This window comes from Homo sapiens, chromosome 7 (assembly GCF_000001405.40).
Source record: "Homo sapiens chromosome 7, GRCh38.p14 Primary Assembly".
NCBI lineage: Eukaryota > Metazoa > Chordata > Mammalia > Primates > Hominidae > Homo > Homo sapiens.
In genome coordinates, this window is record NC_000007.14 from 67363642 (window position 1) to 67382996 (window position 19355).

The 19355-nt window shown below is 48.0% G+C and overlaps 3 annotated features.

The window, feature by feature from the left end:
• Positions 14299–14800: an enhancer, noted in NCBI's record as "H3K4me1 hESC enhancer chr7:66842927-66843428 (GRCh37/hg19 assembly coordinates)". NCBI's record gives its function as "activates a minimal SCP1, AML or CMV promoter by ChIP-STARR-seq in naive and primed H9 embryonic stem cells {active_cell/tissue: H9 hESC(naive and primed)}" and the evidence as "EXISTENCE:reporter gene assay evidence [ECO:0000049][PMID:30033119]".
• Positions 14299–14896: a biological region, named in NCBI's record as "H3K4me1 hESC enhancer GRCh37_chr7:66842927-66843428".
• Positions 14727–14896: a silencer, noted in NCBI's record as "silent region_18221". NCBI's record gives its function as "represses an Ori minimal core promoter by ATAC-STARR-seq in GM12878 lymphoblastoid cells {active_cell/tissue: GM12878}" and the evidence as "EXISTENCE:reporter gene assay evidence [ECO:0000049][PMID:35858748]".

The window sequence follows — 19355 nt, forward strand, 5'->3', positions numbered from 1 at the left end:
TGGTGGTGTGTACTTGTAGTCCCAGCTACTTAGGAGGCTGTGGCAGGAGGATTGCTTGACCTGAGGAGTTCAAGGCTGCAGTGAGCTATGATTGCACTGTGTCCAGAATTGGTGGGTTCTTGGTCTTACTGACTTCAAGAATGAAGCTGCACACCCTCGAGGTGAGTGTTACAGTTCTTAAAGATGGTGTGTCCGGAGTTTGTTCCTTCTGATGTTCAGACGTGGTCAGAGTTTTTTCCTTCTGGTGGGTTCGTGGTCTCACTGGCTTCAGGAGTGAAACTGCAGACCTTCGCCGTGAGTGTTACAGCTCTTAAGGCGGCGCGTCTGGAGTTGTTCATTCCTCTAGGTGGGTTCGTGGTCTCGCTGACCTCAGGAGTGAAGCTGCAGACCTTCTAGGTGAGTGTTACAGCTCATAAAGGCAGTGCACACCCAAAGAGCGAGCAGCAGCAAGATTTATTGCAACGAGTGAAAAAACAAAACTTCCACAGTGTGGAAGGGGACCCAAGCAGGTTGCTGCTGCTGGCTCCAGCCGCCTGCTTTTATTCTCTTATCTGGCCCTCCAAGTCCCCACTAGATTAGCTAGACACAGAACACTGGTGCATTTACAAACCTTGAGCTAGACACAGAGTGCTGATTGGTGTTATTTACAATCCTTTAGCTAGATATAAAGGTTCTCCAAGTCCCTACCAGATTAGCCAGATACAGAGTGCTGATTGGTGCATCCACAAACTCCGAGCTAGACACAGAGCACTGATTGGTGCATTTACAATCCTTTAGCTAGACATAAAGGTTCTCCAAGTCCCCACCTGACTCAGGAGCCCAGCTGGCTTCCCCTAGTGGATCACACGCCAGGGCCGTGGGAGGAGCTGCCCGCTAGTCCTGTGGTGCTCACCTGCACTCCTCAGCCCTTGGGCGGTCGATGGGACCGGGCGCAGTGGGCGGCGCCCGTCGAGGAGTCTCGGGCTGCCGAGGAGCCCACCGCGGGGGACTCTGGCATGGCGGGCTGCAGGTCCCGAGCCCTGCCCGGCCGGGAGGCGGCTGAGGCCCCGCGAGAATTCCAGCGTGGCGCGGGCGGGCCGGCAGTACTAGGGGACCCTGCGCCCCCTCCGCAGCTGCTGGCCCAGGTGCTAAGCCCCTCACTGCCTGGGGCCAGCGGCGCCTGCTGGCCGCTTTGAGTGCGGAGCCCGCCGAGCCCACGCTCACCCGGAACTCGCGCTGGCCCGCGAGCTCCGCGCGCAGCCCGGTTCCCGCCCGCGCTTCTCCCTGCAAGCAGAGGGAGCCGGCTCCAGCCTCGGCCAGCCCAGAGAGGGGCTCTCACGGTGCAGCGGCGGGCCGAAGGGCTCCTCAAGCGTGGCCAGAGCGGACGCCGCCGTCGAGGAGGCACTGAGAGCGAGCGAGGGCCGCCAGCACGTTGTCACCTCTCAGCGCCACTGTACTCCAGCCCAGATAACAGAGTGGGTCCGTGTCTCTAAACACACACACACCCCCCTTAGAAACTGAATAAATGGAGAGAAATGCCATGTTTTTGGTTGGGAAAATGCAGTCGAAGAATTGTAATATTTCTGGCTGGGTGCAGTGGCTCATGCCTGTAATCCCAGCACTTTGGGAGGTCAAGGTGAGTGGATCACTTAAGGTAAGGAGTTTGAGACCAGCCTGGCCAACATGGCAAAACCGTGTCTCTACTAAAAATAGAAAAATTAGCCGGGCGTGGTGGCAGGCGCCTGTAATCCCAGCTACTCGGGAGACTGAGGCAGAAGAATTGCTTGAACCTGGGAGGTGGAGGCAGCAGTGAGCCGAGATCGCACCACTGCACTCCAGCCTGGGCGACAGAGCAAGACTCTGCCTCAAAAAAAAAAAAAAAAAAAAAATGTAGCCCCCAATGCATTCACAACTGTGCCTAACCAGGCCAAAGCCCTGGCAGGTGGTTTTAATTTCTGATGTTTTTAGGGGCAGATGGAGCTGATGGGTTCATGAAAGTTGTGTTATTCTAAAAACTGTCACTGGTGGACAAATCTAGCAGTTGCCAGGGGGACCTAATTTTACATAACTTTATTCTGTTTTCCCCCAATTTTTTTATTGTGATAAAATACACATAACATAAAATTTACTATCTTAACCATTTTAAATGTACACCTCAGTAGTATTAAATGCATGCATAATTTTGTGCAAACATCCCCACCATCTGTCTCCAGAATGCTTTCCATCTTGTAAAAAAATTGAAACCCTGTCCCTATTAAACACTTAACTCCTCGTTCCTCCCTTCCCTCAATCTCTGGCAACCACCCTTCTGCTTTCTGTCTGTATGAATTTGACTCCTCTAACTACCTCATCTGAGTGGAATTATGCAGTGTTTGTCTTTTTGTATAACTTTATTCTTTCAACAAAGAATAATAGATGATAATACATAGCTCTGTAGGTTTTATTATTATAACTTAAGAGGTTTTTCTCCATAGAAATAAATATACACATTTAAAAATGAGACTGGCCAGGAACGATGGCTCATGCCCGTAATCCCAGCACTTTGGGAGCCGAAGTGGGAGGATCTCTTGAAGTCAGGAGTTCGAGACTAGCCCAGACAACATAGTGAGAACCTTGCTCTACAAAAAATAAAATTAAAATTAGCCTGGTATGGTGACCCGTGCCTGTGGTCCCAGCTCCTTGGGAGGCTGAGGTGGGAGGATCACTTGAGACCAGTAGTTCAAGGCTGCAGTGAGCTATGATTGCACCACAGCACCCCAGCCTGGGCGAATGAGCGAGATCCTGTCTCTAAAAATAAATAAATAAATATTTTAGAGTAGCTGTCCTGATTTGAGTTTTACAAATAGTTATTGCAGTAACAGAGGATGAGAAGGCGCAAGGGAAGGGAACATCTGGTCACAGATCTTTGGCCACAGATATCACCTCTGGGAGTTAAGCGGGGGTCAGAAGGGATGAGGCAGAGTGATTGATGGATCAACTGAAGTGAAGTAACTCAGGGGGGAAAAACCAAAAACCTTACGTTCTCACTTACAAGTGGGAGCTAAGGCCTGGCACGGTGACTCACGCCTGTAATCCCAGCACTTTGGGAGGCCGAGACGGATGGCTCACTTGAGGTCAGGAGTTCGAGACTAGCCTGGCCAACATGGTGAAACCCTGTCTCCACTAAAAAAATACAAAAATTAGCCGGGTGTGGTGGCACACGCCTGTAATCCCAGCTACTCGGGAGGGTGAGGCAGGAGGATCACTTGAACCTGGGAGGCAGAGGTTGCAGTGAGCCAAGATTGTGCCACTGCACTGCAGCCTGGGAAACAGAGTGAGACTCCATCTCAAAAAAAAAAAAAAAAAAAGCTACAGGCATGCAAAGGCAAACAGAATAGTATAATGAACTTTAGAGATGCAGAAGGTAGAAGGATGGGAGGGGAGTTAGGGATAAAAAACTGCCTCTGAAGTATAAGGTATACTACTTGAGTGACAGGTGCACTAAAAGCTCAGAATTCATCCATGTAACAAAAAAACACTTGTACCCCTCAAAATATTGAAATAAATTTTTTAAAAAAGAGACTGTTTGAGAGAGCAGCATTCAAACAGGGAGAACGTAGGAGGAACGCCTTCTGGGCGGATTGGGATCTCTATCTTTATGTTTTTGTTTGCTGTCACATCCTGGGAAAGTGACTGGTGTGTGTTCTCCAACTTTGAGACTGTTTAGATGTGGCTGGGATGAGCCACGCTTGGTAAGGTGTGATGGGATGTGGGGGTCAACCTTCTGAGGGATCTGGAGTCTAATACAGCCATGGGAGACTTATCCACTTGTTCAAGGTTGGCGATTCTTCTCATTGACACAGGAGACAGGCAGGGGCTGCCCTCAGCATTTCATTTATTCCAAACACATCACAAAGAATCATTCACTCTTCCCTGTAACTTTGAGAGAAGGGTTGCTATGGACTGAATGTGTCCCCCGCAGAATTCATATGTTGAAGCCTAAATCCCTGAAGTGATATGTGGAGGTGGGGCATTGGGGAGGTCATTAGGTCATGAGGATGAAGCCCTACAAATAGGATTAGTGCCGTTAGTGCCCTTATAAGGAAAGACACAAGAGAGATGGAAGGAGAGGATTGCTCTCTACTTTCTCAATGAGAAGGCTGCCATCTACAACTCAGGGAATGGGCTCTCACCAGACACAGGGCTTGCTAGCACCTTGCTCTTGGACTTCCCAGCCTCCAGAACTGTGAGAAATAGAGATTTTAGGTGGACATGGTGGCTCATGTCTGTAGTCTCAGTGCTTTGGTTGGGCAAAGTGGGAGGATTACTTGAGACCAAGATTTCTGGACCAGACTGGGCAAAATAGTGAGACCCCCATCTCTATAAAAAATTTAAAAAATTAGTTAGGTGTTGTGGCATGCGCCTATAGCCCCAGCTCCTGAGGAGGCTGAGGCAGGAGGATCGCTTGAGCCCAGGAGTTCAAGGCTGCAGTGGGCTATGATTGCACCACTGCACTCGAGCCTGGGCAGAGACAGACCCTGTCTCTTAAAAAAAAAAGACACAAGGCAGATGGAAGGAGATGATTCCTCTCCACGCTCTCCCATGTGAAGGCACAATGGGAAGGTTGCAGCTGTAAACTGGGAAGTGAGCCCTCACCAGACATAAGATTTGCTGGCACTTTGATCTTGGACTTCCCAGCCTCCAGAATCATGAGGAATAAATGTTTCTTGGTAAATCACCCAGTCTGTGGTATGTGTTATAGCAGCCAGAGCTGATTAAGACATGGGGGCAATCAGGCTCACCAATGAGGCCACCCAGCTAGAGCAGCAGAGCCTGGATTTAAATCTGGGCATGTGGGCTCTGGGGTCAGGGCTCGTCATTTCTAGGCTTTGCTGGCTATCCCATTTTTAGAGGCAATTAACATGTTTATTAATCACTCAGTCATCAACCACTAAAACAGCTTTTTCTATGCGCCAGGCCCCATGGCACCAACCATGGGAGACATAGAAATGACACCGGGGCATTAAACCTGGTGTCTTTTAAGACTCCCAGCAGAGGTGGCTGCTATTGCATAGCCCTTACCAGGTAAGTTTTTGTGAAGCCCCTCCAACCCCCAGGGCATTAGCATCAAGAACTCTTCTTGCTATGTGGCAAGGCAAGCCGTCTGGGCGTTCTGTGGACTGAGGATGATAATTAACCTACATGGAAAACACCAACCCCTGGTAATTCCTGGGTGAGCTCTGGCTGCAGAACCTGGGGCCCTGAGGTTTCTTCCCTTTTCCTGGGTGGGTGGGAGCCTTGGGAAGGGTCCCGTTATCTTCCTGGCCTGTGTCCTGTTCTTCTCTTCCTCCCTCACTTTTTCTACCCTGCCCTCCCAGATTTGCTGTCGGGGTCTTTGTGTTACTCCAAGGGCCTCTCTGTCCAGGTGCCCTCCCCTTTCCACTCCTTGTCCTTGCCCATCATTCCTGGATGACACCTTGTTAGAAGTGCTGTCTTATCTTACCAGTAAGGAAACTGGGAATCAGAGAGGTTGAGCAACTCACATAGGGTCACCTAAGAAGCTGGAGGCACAACTGGGCTGGGAATGCACCCAGAATTGAAGCCGATCATGGGCAAGAGGAGGCCACACTCCCACTGAGAGAGGGGAAGGGCTGGCAAGGAGCAGGGAAGGGTGAGAACAGCTGGGGCTTCTCCACCATTTGGCTCTGCCAGCCTGGGCAGTGCCACTCAGTGTCAGATCTGCAAGCCCCTTGGAGGGCAACCAATCCTGAGGGTGGAAACTGTGGTCCCAGGCCAGACCCTGTTCAGTCTCTTTATTAAAAAAATTAGAAGTAATTTCAAACATATTGCTACAATAGTATAAACCACTGTGTGCAACAATAGTATAAAGTATACAACAATACAACATCAAGAGTATAAAGACCAAGAATTGCAAGAATACCATAAAAACCCATTATTGACATTTTGGCACATCTTTCTTTTCCTCCCTTCCTTTCTTTTCCTTCCTTTCTTCCTTCCTTCTCTCTCTTTCTCTTTCTTTCTCTCTTTTTCTTTCCCTCCCTCCCTCCTTTCTCTTTCTTTCTTTCTTTCTTTCTTTCTTTCTTTCTTTCTCTCTCTCCTTCCTTCCTCTTCTTCTTTTCTTCTTTCTTTCTCTCTTTCTTCTTTCCCTCCCTCCCTCCCTCCTATCTTTCTTTCTCTTTCTTTCTTCCTCTTCTTTCTTTCTTTCTTTCTTTCTTTCTTTCTTTCTTTCTTTCTTTCTCTCTCTCTCCTTCCTTCCTTCCTTCCTTCCTTTCTTTCTCTTTCTTTCCTTTTCCTTCCTTCCTTCCTTCCCTCCTTCCTTCTTTCCTTCTTTTTCTTTCTTTTCTTTCTTTCAAGACAGAGTCTCCCTCTGTCACCCAGGCTGGAGTGCAGTGGTGCAATCTCAGCTCACTGCAACCTCCACCTCCTGGGTTCAAGCAATTCTCCTGCCTCAGCCTTACAAGTAGCTGGGATTACAGGTGACTGCCACCATGCTGAGCTAATTTTTGTGTTTTTAGTAGAGATGGGGTTTCATCATGTTGGCCAGGCTGGTCTCAAACTCTTTTACCTCAAGTGATCCACTTGCCTTGGACTCCCAAAGTGCTGGGATTACAGGCATGAGCCACCACGCCCAGCCCATTTTGCTTTCTATATGTACATATTTCCCCCTTAACCATTTGAGAGTTATAGATGTCATGCTTATCACTCCTACATGCTTGAGTGTGTATATTATAAGAACAAGGACTGGCCGGGCATGGTGGCTCACACCTGTAATCCCAGCACTTTGGGAGGCTGAGGCAGGTGGATCATAAGGTCAAGAGATCGAGACCATCCTGGCCAACATGGTGAAAACCCCTCTCTTCTAAAAATACAAAAATTAGCTGGACATGGTGGCGCCCACCTGTAGTCCCAGCTACTCAGGATGCTGAGGCAGGAGAATGGCATGAACCCAGGAGGCAGAAGTTGCAGTGAGCTGAGATCACGCCACTGCACTCCAGCCTGGGGCACAGAGCGAGACTCCATCCCCCAGCACCCCCCTCCAAAAAAAAGAATAAGGACATTATTTTATAAGACCAAAGTGCACTTACCCAATTCAGGAAATTCAGCTTATGTAATACTAGTATGTAATATATAGAACATATGCACATTTTGACAATTGTCCCCAATACTGCCCTTTCCGAATAGTTCTTTTCCCCACTTGATTTAGAATATCCTCTAAGATCATGAACTGCATTTAGCTATCTTGACTGTCTCCTTCCCTTTCTTCTGAAATAGTCACTCAGTCTTCCTTTGTCTTTCTTTATCTTGATATTTTTAAAAAGCGCAAGCCAGTTGTTTTGCAGAATGCCCTTCAATTTGGATTTGTCTGATGTTTTCCAAATGGGCTATGCATTTTTGGCAGGAGTAATTCCTAAGCGATGTTGTGTCTTCTGCTCCGAGTCTTTGAAAAAAAGTGGAACCAGTTGCCAATATTAAAACCTGAGAGATTTTACATATTGTCTTGGTTTCTGGATACTCTTATGAACAGATAGCTACACTCTGGCCCCCTGGGCTAGGCTCCTGCGGGGAATGGCCAGTTGGAGCTGGACAGTGGGTGCTTGAGATGGGGGTGGGAGTACTGGAGTGTCATACTCTCTCTTTGCTTTCCCCTTGGTCATCTAGGGGAGCCCACCTGGCCAGGCAGGTACTGAGTGTACAACTCTTGCTGAATATCCCATTTATTTATTTATTTATTATTATTTTTAAAAATTTTTCAGAGGTAGGGTCTCCCTCTGTTGCCCAGGCTGGAGTGCAGTGGTGCAAACACAGCTCACTGCAGCTCTAAACTTCTGGGTGCAAACGATCCTTTGCCTCAGCTTCCTAAGTAACTGGGACTACAGGCATGCACCACCATGCCTGGCTAATTAAAAAAAATTTTTTTTATAGAGATGGGGTCTCACTATGCTGTCCAGGCTGGTTTTGAACTCCGGACCTCAAGCCATCCTCCCGTTTCAGCCTCCCAAATGTTGGGATTACAAACGTGAGCCACTGCGCCTGGCCTTCCTTCGTTTTTCAGTTGAGGCAACGATCTAGAAGACCCAGAGAGGGCCAGGAGTGAGCTGCGGTCACCCTCAGAGGCCAGACTTGTCCTCCTTTTGTCAGAGCAATTACAAGTGGTTAGGTTCACATCTCACCATGTTTTATTAACACTTGACAAGAAATGGGGCATTGGCTGTGTTTGAGCAACTGCACCCTGCTGGTGTGTAATTCAGGGAGATGGGAACATGGGAACGTTTTCCGGAGCTGTGTCTGCCCCTGTCCTGAGCAGTCCCCGGCTGCCTTCTCCCTGACGTCGTTATGTTCTTGCTGTTCATACTTTGGACACTAGGTGTCACTGGTTCCCTATGAATAACCTAGAGCAGCCCGTCGGCCTCAGAGGCCACCAGTCCAGGTGCAGAGGGGCCTTGACATCAGCCAGCTCAGCACAGTTATGCTCTTTTTAGCCTTGGAATCCTTTCTTCTGATAAGATCCTTTGCCCCTGACTTAAAAAAATGGAAGTAGACATCACATACTATAAAATCCACCCTTTAAACGCGTACAGTGATTTTTAGGCTATTCACAAGACTGCAGCCATCACCACTATGGTTTTTTTTTTGGAGTTGGAGTCCCACTCTGTCGCCCAGGCTGGAGTGCAGTGGCAGCCACCTCGGCTCACTGCAACCTCCGCCTCCCCAGTTCAAGCGATTCTTCTGCCTCAGCCTCCTGAGTAGCTGGGACTACAGGGGTGCACCACCGTGACCAGCTAATTTTTGTATTTTTAGTAGAGACAGGGTTTCGCCATGTTGGCCAGGCTGGTCTCAAACTCCTGACCTCAGGTGTTCTGCCCGTCTCGGCCTCCCCAAATGCTGGGATTACAGACGTGAGCCACCGCACCCGGTCCATCACCACTATCTAATTACAAGATGTTTTCATTCTGATGAAATCTTACATGGAAGTCAGGAGCGAGGGGGATTTTTCTTGGCTTTGCCTGGGGGAAAAAAGCTATTAGGTTGCAGGCCGGGCTCAGTGGCTCACACCTGTAATCCCAGCACTTTGGGAGGTTGAGGTGGGTGGATCACTTGAGGTCAGGACTTTGAGACCAGCCTGACCAACATGGTAAAACACTGTCTCTACTAAAAATACAAAAATTAGCCAGATGTGGTGGCATACACCTGTAATCCCCGCTACTCGGGAGGCTGAGGCAGGCGAATCTCTTTTTTTTTGTTTTGTTTTGACGGAGTCTGGCTCTGTTGCCCAGGCTGGAGTGCAATGGTGCAATCTTGGCTCACTGCAACCTCTGCCTCCTAGGTTCAAGTGATTCTCCTGCCTCAGCCTCCCGAGTAGCTAGGACTACAGGCGGGCGCCACCACACCTGGCTAATTTTTGTATTTTTAGTAGAGACGGGGTTTCACCACATTGGCCAGGCTGGTCTTGAACTCCTGATCTCTTGATCCGCCCGCCTCAGTCTCCCAAAGTGCTGGGATTACAGGCATGAGCCACCGCACTGGGTCTTAACTTTTATTTTAGGTTTGGGGTACATGTGAAAGTTTGTGACATAGGTAAACTCATATCATGGGGGTTTGTTGTACAGGCTATTTCATCACCCAGGTATTAAAGCCGAGTACCCACTAGTCATCTTTTCTGCTCCTATCCCTCCCCGACCCTCCACCCTCACATAGATCCCAATGTTTGTTGTTCCTTCTTTGTGTTCATAAGTTGTCAACATTTATCTCCCACTTATAAGTGAGAACACGTGATTCAAGCGATTCTCCTGCCTCAGCCTCTGGAGTAGCTAAGATTACAGGTGTGTGCCATCATGTCTGGCTAATTTTGGTATTTTTAGTATTTTATATTTCAGTATTCCTGTTCTTGCTCTAGTTTGCTAAGGATGATGGCCTCCAGTTCCATCCATGTCCCTGCAAAAGACATGATCTTGCTCTTTTTGATGGCTGCATAGTATTCCATGGTGTATCTGTACCACATTTTCTTTATTCAATCTGTCATTGATGAGTATTTGGGTTTATTCCACGTGTTTACTATTTTTTTTTATTATGCTTTAAGTTCTAGGGTACATGTGCACAACATGCAGGTTTGTTACATATGTATACATGTGCCATGTTGGTTTGCTGAACCCATCAACTCAACATTTACATTAGGTATTTCTTCTAATGCTATCCCTCCCCCTGCCCCCCACCCCACAACAGGCCTTGGTGTGTGATGTTCCTCACCCTGTGTCCAGGTGTTCTCATTGTTCAATTCCCACCTATGAGTGAGAACATGCGGTGTTTGGTTTTCTGTCCTTGTGATAGTTTGCTGAGAATGATGGTTTCCAGCTTCATCCGTGTCCCTGCAAAGGACATGAACTCATCTTTTTTTATGGCTGCATAGTATTCCACGGTGTATATGTGCCACATTTGTCTTTACTATTTTGAATAGTGCTGCAATTAACATTCACATGCATGTGTCTTTTTTTTTTTTTTTCTTTTGAGATGGAGTTTTGCTCTTGTTGCCCAGGCTGGAGTGCAATGGCGTGATCTGGGCTCACCGCAACCTCTGCCTCCTGGGTTCAAGCGATTCTCCTGCCTCAGCCTCCCGAGTAGCTGGGATTACAGGCATGACACCACCACGGCCAGCTAATTTCGTATTTTTAGTAGTGACAGGATTTCTCCATGTTGGTCAGGCTGGTCTCGAACTCCCAACCTCAGCTGATCCGCCTGCCTCGGCCTCCCAAAGTGCTGGGATTATAGGCGTGAGCCACTGCGCCTGGCCGTGCGTGTGTCTTTATGATAGAATGATTTATATTCCTTTGGGTAGATACCCAGTAATGGGATTGCTGGGTTGAATGGTAGTTCTGCTTTTAGCCCTTTGAGGAATCGCCACACTGCTTTCCACAATGGCTGAACTAATTTACACTCCCACCAACAGTGTATCTGCATTCCCAGAAAAGTGTTCTTGTTCTTGAAAAAGGAAATCACTATATTTGTTGTGTAGTAGGTGGAATAACGTGCTCCCAAAGATGTCTTCATTCTCATCCCTAGAACTTGTGGACAGGGTAGCCTATATGGCAGAAGGCATTTTGCAGTTGTGATTATGTTCAGGATCTGGGGATGGAGATATTGTCTTGGATTATCCACATGGGTCCAGTGTAGTCATGAAAGTTCTTATACAGGAAAGAAGGAGGCAGGAGAATTAGAGAGAGAGGGATGTGAGGATGGATGAAAGCGTAGGGGGACACAAAGAGAAAGAGAGAAAGGAGAAGGAGAGAGACAGGGAGAGACAGAAATAGGGAGAGGAGAGGGAGAGAAAAAGAGACAGAGAGACAGAGAGAGTAGAGGAAGAGAGACAGAGAGAGAGAGAGAGACAGAAATAGAGAAGAGGGAAAGAAAAAGTAGAGGGAGAGAGAGAGAGACAGAGAGAGAGAGAAATAGAGGAGAGGGAAAGAAAAAGAGACAGAGAGACAGAGAAATAGAGGAGAGGGAGAGAAAGAGAGAGACAGAGGGAGAGAGTAGAGGGAGAGAGACAGAGAGACAGAGAGAGATGGAGAGAAACACATACACACACATACACACGCAGAGAGATTGTGAAGATGTTATGCTGTAGGCTTTGAAGTTAGAGGAAGGGTCCACCAGCCAAGGAATGCAGGAAGCCTCTAAAAGTTGTTGGAGACAAAGAAACAGATTTCCCTGCAAAGCCTCCAGAAGGAACACAGCTGTTCAAGACCAGGAATTCAAGACCTGCCTGGACAACATAGCGAGACCCCTGTCTCTACAAAAAAAATGTAAAAAAATTAGCTGGGCGTGGTGGTGCGTACCTGTAGTCCCAGTTACTTGGGAGGGTGAGGTGGGAGGATCGCTTGAGCCCAGGAGTTCTATGTTGCAAGCTCTCAACATCTTGATTTCAAGACTTCTGACCCCCAGAACAGTTAGAGAATGGATTTGTGTTGTTTTAAGCCACTGAGTTGGTGGCTATTTGTTACAGCAGCCATAGGAAGCTGATACCTCCTAATACTTCTCATTTCCTCGTTTTTCCCCATTCCCTCATCTCATGATCTCCCTTTCTGGTGATCTCAGGTGAAATGCAGCTTTCTCAAGGAAGCCTCCCCTCTGTTGCCTGACTAGAGATGCCCTTTTAGCTCCCAGAATGGTTTCAAAGAGCAACAGCGCAATTGTAGAATCATGTCAACATCTGTGTCATGCCTGGTTGGTGCTTATTTCCCTGGTTCCAATACCAGTTCTTTTTTTTTCTTTTTTCCAAGGCAGAGTCTTGCTCTGCCGCCCAGGCTGGAGTGCAGTTGTGTGATCTCGACTCACTGCACCCTCTGCCTCCTGGGTTCAGGAGATTGTCCCTACTTCAGCCACCTTAGTAGCTGGGATTACAGGTGTACACCACCACACTTGGCTAATTTTTGTATTTTTGGTAGAGACAGGGTTTTGCCATGTTGGTCAGGCTAGTCTCGAACTCCTGGCCTCAAGTGATCTTCCCTCCTTGGCCTCCCAAAGTGCTGGGATGACAGGCGTGAGTCACCACATCCTGCCCCAATACTACCACGCCTGGCCCCAGTACCAGCCTCCCAATACATGGCTGTCTTCTTCACAGGTGTGTCTCAGGCACACAACATGAGCCTGGACCCCACAGAGGATCAAGGAATGTGTGTACAATGAGCATGTGGAATGTTTGTAAAATGCACGAATGTCTGTAAAACGGGAATGTTTATAAAATGCATGAATGAGTGAGCTTCTCATTGAGTTCACTCTCATCATGGGCCAGGCATAGCCGTGTCCTGGGAATGGTGTGTGTGTTATGAGGGGCCTGGAAAGACCCAAACACGTCCTCATTCCCACACATTGGGGAGGAGAAGATGAACACAGACAGGTGAAGATTTAAATGGTGTTAACATCATTAATTCACTGTTGCAATCATCATATTCACAGAGGCAGAGAGAAGGATGATGGTTGGCAAGGGCTGGTGGGAGGGAGAAATGGGGAGTGAGTGTTTCATGGGGACAGGGTTTCAGTTTGAGAAGATGAGAAAGTTCTGGAGATGGATGACAGTGAAGGTTGCATGATAATGGGAATTTATTTAAGACTACCAAACTCTGTCCTTAGAAATGCTGAAAATGACACATTTTTTTGTTATATATATATTCAGCCACAATTGAGAAAATTTCTTGCATCTAAAAATATGCCTCTAAGAACCCACCATTCACATGAATGCATTAAAAACCTTCATTCACTGAAAAAAAAAATTTAATTCAGTTTCAGACAATGCTGGGAGAAGTTAAAAATGTTTCAGTCCAGTCAAAGATTAAGAACCAAGTATGTGGCTGGGCGTGGTGGCTTATGCCTATAATCCCAGCATTTTGAGAGGCTGAGGTGGGCAGATCACCTGAGGTTAGGAGTTCAAGACCAGCCTGGGCAACATGGTGGAACTGTTGTTCTACTAAAAATATAAAAATTAGCCAGACGTGGTGGCACATGCCTGTAATTTCAGCTACTTGGGAGGCTGAGGCAGGAGAATTGCTTGATCCTGGGAGGCAGAGGTTGCAGTGAGCCGAGATCACACCACTGCACTCCAGTCTGGGCAACAGAGTGAGACTCCATCTCAAAAAACAAAAATGACAAACAAACAACCAAGTATGTAACAAGGCATAGAGTTTCATGCCTATAATCCCAGCACTTTGGGAGGCCAACTTGGGAGGAGCAATTGAGGCCAGGAGTTTGAGACCAGCCTGGGCAGCATTGTGAGACTCCTGTCTCTATAAAAAGTAAAAAAAAAAAAAAAAAAAAAAAAAAAATCAGCTGGGCATGGTGGTTTGCACCTGCAGTCCCAGCTCAGGAGGCTGAAGTGGGAGGATTGGTTGAACCCAATAATTGGAGGCTGCAGTGAGCTATGAGTGTGCCACTGTACTCTGTCTAGCTTGGGCAACAGAGCAAGACCCTGTGGCAAAAAAACAAAAAACAAAAAAAAGGAAAAAAGAGGCCAGGCACAGTGGCTCACGTCTGTAATCCCAGCAGTTTGGATGGCCGAGGCAGGTGGATCACCTGAGGTCAGGAGTTTGAGACCAGCCTGGCCAACATAGTGAAACCCTGTCTCTACTAAAAATACAAAAATTAGCCGGGTGTGGTGGTGCACGCCTCTAATCCCAGCTACTTGGGAGGCTGAGGCAGGAGAATCACTTGAACCCAGGAGGCAGAGGCTGCAGTGAGCAGAGGTTGCACCACTGCACTCCAGCCTGGGCGACACAGCGGGACTCCGTCTCAAAAAACAAAACAAAATGAAACAAAGAAACCCCCCACGTACCTTATCAGACCTTGGATCCCACAATTTGGTTGGGACAGTGTGATCCCAAAGAGAGACACATTTCTAGGGAACGGTTCTGGGGAAGGGTTCCAGGGAGGTGGTCCTTGAGTTGTAGGTTGAACCCAAGGTAGTGCGGGCCTGGGTAGAGAGCTTGGAGGGCCTTCTGAGCCAAGGCAGGGCTTCCGAGAGCCCCAGAGCCCTCCTGGTGCAGGGCCACCTTTCAGCCTGAGGACACCCGGGCTGCACACGGTAGGGTTCCAGGGCTGAGATCCTAGCCTGCAGAACTCTTGAACAGTTCCTTCTGGAAGACAGCTGGCCTCAGGGAGGAGAAGGGAGCCCCATCAGTCATGAGGCTGGGCACACAGGAGCAGCTGGGCTGGGATGGCCACAGGCTTGCTTGTGAGTAGGTGGAGCAGTGGGAGGAGTACTCCTGGCAGCCACCAGGGGTCACTCTTGATTCATGAAAGATGCTTGCAGGCCCCACGTGCTGGGTGTCTTGGGCCTGTAGCTTGGCAGTCCCCAGGGGGTCTAAAGGCCTGGGAGACCCAGTGCATGGTCTAGCTGGGAGCCGCCACGTGCCTTAGGTGGCTCAACTCGGAGACCCCGAGCCGGGGAGGAACATTAGTCTCTTTTGCTCCAGCCTCTCTCTGTTTCAGCCTGGGCAGCTGGCCTCGTGCCCTCAGCCTTGGTTCCCACTGCCAGGATTTGAGGGAGGATGAAAGGCGACCATGGTCCTGGCACAGTGTCAAGGCTGCATTCATGGAGTCGTGGGTAGAACAATGATCGTCCCAGGACCTCAAAGCTGCAGAGGCCTGGAGAGGCACATCCCGGCCTCAGCTGGGAACATGACCTTTGCAAGACACAGGACTTTCTGGTACATCCAGAGTCAAGGAGGTGCCCTGGGTGTCAGATGACAAATTTAGGGTTGCACTCAGCCGTTCCTATCACCGTTGGGTTCAGTGTTGTCCTCTTCAGGAACCCCACTTTTCTGTAGGTGTGGCTGCTGTTCACATCTGCACACCAGCTGAAAGGGATTTGAGTGTATCTGGAACTTTCTTGCTACCAGCGTTTATTTCTGATCTATTTCGGGCTAAAATACTTCATTGTGAATAATTTTTCCTAATGAGCTTTTCTCCCTGTCCCGAGAAACTGGGATAATATGAGAACTTCAGGCTTTTTTTTTTTGAGACAGAGTTTCACTCTTGTTGCGCAGAATGGAGTGCAATGGCGTGATCTTGGCTCACTGCAACCTCCGCCTCCTGGGTTCAAGCGATTCTCCTGCCTCAGCCTCCTGAGTATCTGAGATTACAGGCGCCCACGACCACGCCCGGCTAATTTTGTATTTTTAGGAGAGACGGGGTTTCTCCATGTTGGTCAGGCTGGTCTCAAACTCCTGACCTCAGGTGATCTGCCCGTCTTGGCCTCCCAAAGTGCTGGGATTACACGGGTGAGCCACCGTGCCTGGCCAGCTTCAGGCCTTTGTACCGGGGCCAGGGCAGGACAGGGAAGCAAGTCCTGAAAAGTTCAGGGATATAAAGGACCACAAAGGGCAAACTTCATGAGCATCACCGTTTTGCTGGATTAGCAGTAACACAGGGTCATGGAGCAACAGAGATAGAAGGGAGCTGAGTCCCATCGTCCCATTTCACAGATGGAAACTGAGGCCCAGAGATGGAGGTGCAGTGCCTGGGCCAGGGCTCTTTGCTCTTGGAGAGGATGTTTATTCTTTGCTCCTATGGGGCCGTCAGTTCTGTGGCTTGAATATACAGAGAAGAAGGGGAAAGATGAGGAGGGAACCTAGGGTCTCTCAGACTGAAAGAAGCTTCTGGAAGACCCCAGAGGTGTGGGGATCCTGGGTGCGGGGAGACAGCAGCCTGCCAAACTGGTAGACAGTGGACAATGGTCCTCTGAGACTCAGTTTCACATCTGTAAAAAGAGCCAGTTGGTCTGAGAAAATAGCTGAAAAATAGCTGAGGACTTTCCTAGGTCTGACTCCTTCTCTCTCTACCCCTCTAATTCAGTGTCACAGTCCACACTTGGGGTAAAGGAACCCCACTTTTCTGCAGATCTGGGTGCTGCTCACATCTGCACGCCAGCTGGAAGGGATTTGAGTGTATCTGGAACTCTCTTGCTACCAGCATTGTTTATTTCTGACCTATTTCTGGCTAAAAAAATCCATGTACTAGAGAGATTGGTTTCTAATACCGTGTAGACATGACCTTTGTGTATTTTCCCTACATATCTTCCAGGGTTCAGCCTGATTTCCATACAGCCTGAGCTCTTCACCATGAATGTGGGCAGGCCAGTTAGTAATGTGTACTTTACAGAGCCTTTGTGGATAGATGGTTCAGCTGCTTGGAGAGTCAGGGGCAAGTGTGTGTGGACTGCATGTGTGTATGTGTGTGTATATGTACGTATGTGTGGATGTGTGCACATGGTGTGTGCATGCATGTGTGCATGATGTATGTATATGTATGTGCACATGTGTATGTATGGTACATGGTCTGTGCATTCTCTGTGTGCATGATATATGTATGTGCATGTGTACATGTAGTGCATGCTGTGTGAATGTGCATGTGTGTGCATGTGTACATGTGGCACATGGTGTGTGCATGTGTGTGCCTGCATGCATGTGTTTATCTTTGTACATATGTACATGTGGTATATGGTATGTGCATGTGTGTATGCATGTATGCACGATGTATGTTTGTACATATGTACATGTTCACGGTGTATGCATGCATGTGAATGCATGTATGTGTGATGTTTGTACATGCGTACATGTACATGGTATGTGCATGTGTGTGCATGCATGTATGTATGATGCGTGTTTGTACATATGTACATGTGTATATTGTTTGCATTTGTATGCATGCATGTGTGATTTATGTTTATACCTGTGTACATGTGGTACATGGTGTATGCATGCATATATGCATGTATGCATGATATTTGTACATGAGTACATGTGGCACATGGTGTGCCCATGTGTGCACACACATGTATGCACGATGTATGTTTGTACATATGTACATGTGATGCATGGTGTGTGCATGTGTGTGCATGCATATATGCATGATTTATGTTTGTACATGTGTACATGTGGTCCATAGTCCGCACATGTGCATGTGTACATAAGTACATGTGCATGGTGTGTGCATGCTGTGTGTGCATGCATGTGTGCATGGTGTATGTATGTGCATGTGTACATGTGGCACATGGTGTGTGTGTGTGTATGCTGTGCATATGTGTGTACATGCATGTGCACATATGATTTGAGATGGAGGTGGGCCGGGCCTCCTGAGAGAGCGTGGAGAACTCAGGGCACCTGCAGACTCAGTCTAAGCTCTCCAGGACCATCTCAGGCAGATTCTGTTCCTTGCATCCAGTCCCTAGGTGGCTTCAATTTGGATGGGAGGCCATTTTCCATTTTTTCTGTCCAAGAAATGGAGCTTGGCCCTTGAAATCAGACCCTTGAAAGGCATTTTGCATTTTCTTAGGGGTATAGAAGCATTAGTTTGTCTGGGATGAGTGGCACGTGATCATCTTGTTCCCAGCATTGCGAATTAAGAAGTGCAGAAGTCCTGGGTGCCAGCCCAGTAGTTCCTGCCCCTTTCTGGTGCCTGCTCTGTTATGTTTGAGGTCCTGGCTGGCATGGCACATGGAAGGTAGGGGGCCAGAAGTGCAAAGGTTACTGAGACAAGGACTCCTTGAGGCAGCTAGAGTCATTTCACATCAAGCCAGACAGGAGACCTTTGCTTGTCAGAGGCAGGACCGTAGTGTGCCTCTCGGATAATGCAAACATGATTGTATGGAAATCAGGACACAGCTAAATTAGTTTTCTGCAGACACGATTTGCAATATGCTTGTGATAGTAAATGTTAATACTCTCACTCACGGTGGTTTATTTTGCAGCATCTGAATCTCACAAATGTACTTTCATCTATGGCTAATGTGACATTGGCTAGTGCAAACTTTCATTGGTTACTACTTTTCTTCCCAACTACCTGCTCTGAATACTTGGGAAACAGTTTCTTCGAAGTTAGCTCAATAAACAATGGAGGAAAAAGACAGGAGCTGAAGAACTGCTGTTTACATTTCTGTGTTTCTGGAGGGTTGGGGACTGGCAGTCAGCTTGGTGCTGGGGGGCCCTACTTGGAGTTGCCTGTCTATAAGGAAGCCAGGACCTGTCATGTATGTTACTTAAATTCCATAGCCTCGCTATGCTATAGTTTCTTGATCTGTAAAATTATTTCGGCTGGGCGCGGTGGCTCACATCTGTAATCCCAGCACTTTGGGAGGCCGAGGCAGGCAGATCACAAGGTCAGGAGATCGAGACCATCCTGGCTAACATGGTGAAACCCCATCTCTACTAAAAATGCAAAGAATTAGCCGGGCGTGGTGGCACGCGCCTGTAGTCCCAGCTACTTGGGAGGCTGAGGCAGGAGAATCGCTTGAACCCGGGAGGCAGAGGTTGCAGTGAGCCGAGATTGCGCGCCACTGCACTCCAGCCTGGGTGACAGAGCGAGACTCCATCTCAAAAAAAAAAAAAAATTGTTTCAATCCTACTTTCCATATCATGTCTGTTGTATGAGTCTTTGGAAGATTAAATAAGGTGCTGCATGAGATGGGCTCAGTTCAGTGTCTCCTCGTGGTAAAAGACTCAGTGAGTGCTATTATTATTAGCTATGATTTATTTATTTATTATTATTTTTTTTAGGTGGAGTCTTGCTCTGTCGCCCAGGCCGGAGTGCAGAGGTGCGACCTCAACTCACTGCAACCTCTGCCTCCTGGGTTCAAGCGATTCTTGTGCCTCAGCCTCTCCAGTAGCTGGGATTACAACGCCTGGCTAATATATATTTTTATTTTTATTTTTAGTAGAGACAGGATTTCACCATGTTGGCCGGGCTGGTCTTGAACTCCTGACCTCAAATGATCCACCCGCCTCGGCCTCCCAAAGTGCTGGGATTACAGGCATGAGCCACCACGCCCGGCCTATTTACTGGTTTTTAAAATTCCCTATCTATTCCAAAAATATCTGAGGCAGCTTATAAAACTA